The sequence below is a fragment of the Homo sapiens genome, chromosome 15 (genome assembly GCF_000001405.40).
Source record: "Homo sapiens chromosome 15, GRCh38.p14 Primary Assembly".
Lineage (NCBI taxonomy): Eukaryota > Metazoa > Chordata > Mammalia > Primates > Hominidae > Homo > Homo sapiens.
In genome coordinates this window covers 54,715,854-54,724,044 of record NC_000015.10, presented here as the reverse complement: position 1 = coordinate 54,724,044, position 8,191 = coordinate 54,715,854, and positions in this window count along the sequence as shown.

Sequence of the window (8,191 nt, the reverse complement as noted above, 5' to 3'; positions counted from 1 at the left end):
AAAATTAACATACAAAAACCAGTAATAGTTCTGTATGCCACAGTGAATAATCTGAAAAACAAGTCAAGAAACTAATCCCATTTATAATAGCTACAGATAAAATAAAATATCTAACAATTAACCAAAGAAGTGAAAGATCTCTACAATAGAAACGATAAAACATTGATGTAAAAAATTGAAGAAGACACAAAAATATGGAAAGACACTCCATGATCATGCATTGAAAGAATCAATATTGTTGAAGTGTTCATGCCACCCAAAGCAATATACAGATTCCATGCAATCTCTATCAAAATACCAATGATGTTCTTCACAGAAATAGAAAAAATAATTCTAAAATTTACTTGCAACCACAAAAGACCCCAAATATCCAAAGGTATCCTAAACCAAAAGAACAAAACTGAAGGAATCACATTACCTGACTTTAAATTACACTACATAACTACAGTTACCAAAACGGCATGGTACTGGCATAGCAACAGACATATAGATCAGTGGAACAGAATAGAGAACCCAGAGATAAATCTGTACATCTCAGTGAACTCATTTTGACAAAGGTGCCAAGAACGTACATTGGGGGAAAGGACAGTCTCTTCAATAAATGGTTCTGGGAAAACTGGATATCCACATGCAGAAGAATAAAACTGGACCCCTATCTCTTACCGTATACAAAAATCAAATCAAAGTGGATTAAGGACTTAAATCTAAGATCTCAAACTACTGAAACTACTTAAAAGAAACTTTGCAGGAACTCTCCAGGACATTGAATCGGGCAAAGATTTCCTAACTAATACCCCACAAGCACAAGCAGACAAACTTAAAAATGGACAAATGGTATAACATCAAGTAAAAAAGCTTCTGCACAGAAAAGAAACAAAGTGAAGACAACCCACAGAATGGATTACAAATTTTTCAAACTATGCATCTGAAAAGATATTGATAACCCGAATGTAGAAGGAGTTCAAATGTATACGAACAAATCAAATAATCTTAATAAATATTGGGGGAACCCACCCTCAATATTTCAACGTAGGTTCTTTATAGTTTCCATAAGTGTTGGCCAGCTGAGAAATAAAGAGAGACAGTACAAAGAGAGGAATTTTACAGCTGGGCGGTCCGGGGTGACATCACATATCCGTAGGACCGTGATGCCTGCCTGAGTTTCAGACCAGCAAGTTTCTATTAAGGGTTTCAAAAGGGGAGGGTGTGTAAGAACAGGGAGTAGGTACAAAGATCACATGCTTCAAAAGGCAGAAAGCAGAACTACTAGTAACGGTCTAACAAAGATCATATGCAAAGGGCAAAAGCAGAACTACTGATAAGGGTCTATGTTCAGCAGTGCACGTATTGTCTTGATAAACATCTTAAATAACAGAAAACAGGGTTTGAGAGCAGAGAACCGGTCTGACCACAGATACATGAAAAGGTGCTAAGCATCATTGATAATCAGAGAAAAGCAAACCAAAACCACGATGAGTTATCTGACCTCAGTTAAAATGGTTTTTATCCAAAAGTCAGACAATAACAAATGCTGACGAGGATGTATATAAAAGGGCAAGCTAGTATGGTGTTGTTGGGAGTGTGAATTAGTACAGCCACTGTAGAGAACAGTTTGGAGTTTCCTAAAAAAATTAAAGATAGAGCTACCATGTGATCCAGCAATCCTACTGCTGAATATATACCCCAAAGAAAGGAAATTGGTATATTGAAGAGATATCTGCACTCCCGTGTTTATTGCATCACTGTTCACAATAGCCAAGATTTGGGAGTAACTTATGTGTCCATCAACAGATGAATAGATAAAATGTGGTACATATACACATTAGAATACTATTCAGCCATTAAAAGAACAAGATCCTGTCATTTGCATCAACATGGTTGGAACTGGATGTCATTATGTTAAGTGAAATAAGCCAGGCACAGAAAGACAAACTTCACATACTCTCACTTATAGGAACTAAAAATTAAAGCCATTGAACTCATGGCAATAGAGGGTAGAAGGATGGTTACTAGAGGCTGGGAAGGAAAATAGGGGGAGTTGGAGGGAAATGGGAATGGTTAATGGGTGCAAAATAAATAGTTAGAAAGAGTGAATAAGACCTAGTATTTGATAGCATAACAGGGTGCCTATAGTCAAAATAATTTTATTGTACATTTTATAGTAACTAAAAGAGTATAATTGGATTGTCCATAACATAAGGGATAAATGCTTGGGGTGATGATATCCCCATTTATCCTGATATGATTACACATTGCTACCTGTATCACAGGATCTCATGTAATCTATAAATATGTATACCTATTATGTACCCACAAAAATTAAAAACAATTTAAAAAAGAGCAAGTTTGCATATTCATAGCAGGTTCTTACTCTTCCTGTATTGGAGTGAAACACAATTCTAAATGACATTTCTAATAATACTTCCAACATATCTTCTGAAGAGTAGATTCATAGTCTGTTGTTTTCTGCAGCATGCAGAATAAATGTTAAGAATTATGTAATTTCAATATAAAGTAGTGTAGATATTTGCTCTAGGAAGTGAAGATTAGAGATTGATTAGACATATTGGTCATTTGATAAATATGGTCCTGGTGGGGTCTAGAAGTCACTGATTTCACCAGAAAAGATCAGGTGAAAAAACAAACCATAGTGAAGATAGGTTAAGTGAAGGACAAAAATTAAACTGAAAGTAGCAATTCAATGAATGCACTCAGCTGCAGACTAGGCACAACTGAAGAGAGAATTGGTGAAATAGAAAATAAAAGAAGAAAAAAACCCATGAATGTTTTAGTCCAGCAACGCAAAATGCAGAAAAGAACACAAACATATAGTTAAAAGTTTTAACATGTGGAATTAAAGAATCAAGAAGAGAATCAAACAAAAGCAATACGTGAAGAAAAGATTACTAAGATTTTGGGAAAACAGAGGAAAGACTTGAGATCACAGTTATGCCTGAAGCACATTATGTCAAAAGAAAATTAAGTTTTGATGCATCATATTAAGAATGCTAAAAAAGAAAAATCGTTAATGTGGCTAGAGAGACAAAAATAACTCCAAAGGAGCGAAGTAAGAATGACAGTGGACCTTGGAAGAGATGGAAATGGTCATAAAATGAAATATCTTGAAATTATTGAACGGAAATAACTGCCAACCTACTATTCTATGGAATTTAATACTCAATTACAATATCTTCCAAGAACGAAAAGAAAGGAAATCTAATTTTATACAATAAGTGAGAGAAATTATTAGTAGAGCCACACTAAAGTATATGCTAATTTGTGTTGTTCAGGCAAAAGAAAACTGATAATAGATTACAGCTCCAAACTGCAAGAAATAATAAAGAGAAATGAGAAAAGTAAACCCATGGGTTAATCTAACTGAAAATTGACTTAAAATAATGAAATATTATTTTAGATATTTAAAAATACATGAGAATAATGGCAAACAGAAAGGAATAGAGTTCAAGTATACTGAGAGCTTTGCATTGTTTAGGAAGGAGTAAATATAGTTCTTTATCTTTTAACCAGTAAAACTACAGTAAAAAGAATTGAGAAGTAACAAGCTAATGAAAGAAATGGTATAATAAAATTTGTTCAACCCAAAAGGAGTGGTACAGGAATATAGAATAGACAGGCCAAAAATAAAAATATATAGTAAGAAGATAGATTTAAATATAATTATTAATTTCATTAAAGGCAAAGGGAAAATAATTTTAAATAATTTCAAATATTTTCTATTGGTTTATGGGACCTATAACACTAACAAGAGAACTATCTCTTTGTGTATTTTTTATGCTTATATTTTAAATGGTTATAACATGGTGTGTATTTAATACTTTAGGTGTGAAATAAAGAATTCTTACATATAAACACAAATATATGGAAATATATCGCATCTGTACTCAGTATCTGTGGAAGATTCTTCCATAAAATGTGTACCAGGATCTTTGAGAAGGGATTCTTGGAGATTATGGTTCTGGAGTGGGAGAGAAACATATTTTCATTATATACTTATTTGCACTGCTTGATTTTGTTTCATCATATGCATGTATTTATTGTTAATTTTTTTCAAATAAAAATGATCGTAGGGCTTTGGAGAATAGCGATACCTGTCTGATTCCAGTATCTCCTAGACTTTATTCTAAAGTAACATAAAATAAAAAGATCACATTAAACTATTCATGACCCATACTTCTTGCGTTACCAGAAAACAGAGAACACCACATCTTTCTAATTACCTGTAAGAAGAGGGAAAGATATGTCAACAAATTTTTCATTATGCACTTGCCACTGCAAGCCTGTGATAAAAGTAAAGAGGGAGGGGAGGCTTAAAGATGTCAACAAAAGAGTAGAGGGGAGCAGAGAACTTAGGAAAAAAAGACACAATCACCGCAAGAAAGAAAAAGTGCAGCAATGAAAGTCAAAACACAGAACATAGGTCACTTGTTCTGGCTACCTAAAAGGGACTTGCAAGTGTGTAGGACAGGAAGTATCAACTTTAGGGTGGCATTCTGGAAGGAAATCAGACATACGGAGGGGGAGGGGGAAGTATTTCTTGCAAAAATAAAAGCAGTGATGCAAATGAAAGCAATATGAGTAGAAAGTTAAGAATTCTACAGAAACAAAAACTGAAGTAAGACTTCCCAGTTCCTTTCCTTCCCCAACCTAACAGCAGTATCTATAAAAGAGACTGCACAAAGAGACAAGAATTAACAAAAGAGAATACTCTTGTATTTGAGCCATGTCCAAAAAAAAAAAAGAGCAGCAAAAAGCAGACTATTGTAAAAAAAATTAGAAAATGCTAATAAAGTCTTCACTGCTGATTAAAAATCTCCCTTAAAAGATCTCCCTTGAAGGGGGAGAAAACTGTAACATAATACTCCACATATTAAATATTCTTAAATGAGCTTTTGAGTATGTACAAATAGATACCTTGAATTAAAAATGCAAACATTGAGGCAGGACATTGACCCCAATAGGAAGAAAGATAATGAGAGTTGACTGAACTCAGGAAACTAGTACAGTAAAAAGACAAAAATATTTAAGAAATGAAGGGTAAATTATGAGTGCCCAAAGGAAAGTTAAAAAAAAATCAAAGGGAATAAAAATGAGACATAAAAATAAAGAGTCAGAGAACAAAGTAGTTGAATTAGAAAACAAAGGAGGTTTAACATATGTATAACTGGTTTCCTTGATGATGGAAAAACCAAACAATGGAAAAACAATATTTAAAACTATAATCCAAAAAAAAACTTACCAGAAATAAAATAATTTAAATCTCCAATTGAAAGTGGCCATCTGGTACTTTGGAAAATTGATCTAGAAAAATAAACTCCAAAAATCAACTCCAAAACAGTAAAAATAAGCATAAAAATAATGTAATCAGAATCTCCAGGTAAAAAGATGAGTAACACCTACAAAGGCACGAAAATTAAACTGGCATCAGACTACCCAAAAACTGCATATAATGTAAGGCAGCAGTCAAGTAGCTTTTCAAGAAACTTAAGGAAACCAAAAATAGCATATGTGAATATTATAGGTGAACCAATAATTGTATAAACCAAACGGAATGACTGCTAGAAAGAACAAATACAGGTTGTTATAGGGATAATCTCTAGTAACCCTTTAGTGATCTAACCTTTTGGTCATGACTGATTGAATGGGGAAGAAAGAATTTCAAGTTAGGTAGACTATTTAGAGCATATGCTTGTTCTTAGAGCGTATGCTGGGATTTTTAAATTTTTATTTATTTTTTACTGTCTTCCTCTATCCCCTCTCTTCTGCCTATCTCTCTACCCACATTTCCCATCTTATTCATCTTCTTTTCCATCGTTCTCCATCTTTCTTCTGCATTCTTCTGGGCCCCGTCCTGTGCCTATGGGGCTGACCCCTACAGACCTCCTAACTGGAATTTTCTTACCCTCTGGCTTGCAGATGGGTTTGGAGTACGGGAAACAGGTCTAGATGTTTCTTCCCTCATTGTCTTTCTGCCTTGTCACTCTGGTTGTTTCAATGGTCGTATTTATTTTTAGCTATAACCTTTGCTGGAAAACTGCTTCTCCCAAGGCTCCCTCTCCTGGCTCCCTCTCTTTGCTCCTTCAAGTCTAGGGTAATAAAGGCCTCTTTCTGTTGGTAGATCCTGGGTCTCTATATCCTTTATTGGTTCCTTAATTTTTGCCTCAATTGCTGTAAATACTCCCTTAATTAATTTGTGCTGAAAGTAACAGCTAAGTACACCTTCCGTTTTGTGTTGGGACCCTAATACAAAGTGCTTCTCCATTAATTTGAAATTATTACTAGAACTAAAACGTGAGACTCAGTTTCACATTTTATTTCTTAAATAGAGGATATTTCTTATGTGAAAATTTCTTAGTTGTTATGGAGCCACCATACACCATGTAAATGAACCTAGGACAGAGAAAGCTTGTGTATAAAAGAAAGAAAAGCAGATATGCAGAGATAAGAGACAGAAGGTGAAGGTCACAAGTTCTTACTATTTCCAGGTGCTGACCGACTTCACTATCTTTGAGGGCCAGCTACATTCCTGCACTTGTCTGGTAAAACACATCAATGTTATTGTCATAAACTAGCCTGCTTATTTTTCTTTTGAACACTTCAGGCTTGTTTTAGTTGTCACTAAATCTTTCTTTTGTGTTTGAATTTCTACTTGTTCTTAAAAAAATTTGAAAGCTCTATGGACATAGTTCTCAATGCTCTTCTATTAATAGTTCCATTTAGAATAAAAAAGTAAAATACTGTTTCTAAGAGGTTATATACAAACTGGTAATAGTATTTTTTTCTTTGGGTATAGAACTACAGCAGGATTTTTTTTTGGTACCATCTCAATTTATTGAAAACCATCGCACAGTACCTGAAAATTAAATATTCATTTTAAAATGTATTCAGTTTATAAATCTATAACTACATGTAAACTATTTGTTCAATTTTGTTCACAGATGCATGTGGAAAGAAGTGATAATAGATATAATTTTATTTGATCCATTCAATTTAAAGATCAAAATGAGCAAATATGAGCAAAAAATGAATATATTTTACATTTCAAAATGAACAAAATATATACATTATCATGTTACATTACTATATGGCACATAAAAATGCGTATATTCCTCATTCAAAGTTTTCCCATGGCTTCAATATTTATGGGAATTTGTTATTGCTAATGCTGCATATTTTACAGCATTTTCTACCTAAATGGTCACCCTATCACAAGCCTCATGATCCTTTCTTAATAAACGAGCCAAGAGAAGAAGTTTCATCTATTGTAATTATAAAGAGAGAATTAAGCAAAAGCGTTTTCAAAATTATGCACACTTACAAACTGTCTTAATGGGTTGTTACAAATCTGCAAATGACTAGCGGGAAAACTTCCTGGAAGTTTGTGTGGTGGAGGGAGATACTCACTGCATTAAGATAAGACAACTGGCGTCTCTTTAAGCATCTGTCATCAGCTCATGGGCTTTAGTTCTCCAAAAATGGATTTGGGAATAATGACTCCCTTAATGACTCTGTATTATCTCATTTTGGGACTCTTTGTTGTTAATAGATTTGTAGGTGCAGTAACGTGTAAAGTTCCTTGTAACCAAGTTATAATTGTTACCATTCTGTTTACATTAGTATACAAAAACCATCAGGGACGTGTTGTCCTATGTAAGCTATTAACATATTTATACTGAACTGTATCATATTCAAGGGCTTTTCATAGGTATAACTTAGGTATATTATATTTGATTCTCATAGAAGTTTCATAGGTATATTTTATTCGATTCTCATAGAAGGTCTGATAAGTTGTGCCACAGACATTATTCCCCCGACACACACATATTTTATTAATATAGTGAAACTGAGGATTAGAGGTTTTTATTACAATTACAATAATAATTCTAATACATAGTATTTTGGAGTATTTATCAAGTTCTGGGCATCACTTTATGGTTAGTTGATTAATAGTTATGCAGTCATCCAGTGGTAATAGATGTGCAGAATCTTATGATAAGTCAAGGTGTTTTACACTGTGCCATCGTGATTTTGGAATTTATACTTTTTATGTTTGTTAGATTTGTTCATCCCAAAAGAAAAAGATTCAGATTCATATTGTGAGTGTAACATGTTCTTCTTAATTCCTGTTGGAGACACAGCAGCTATTTGCATTATATTGGTGAAGAGTGTGAAG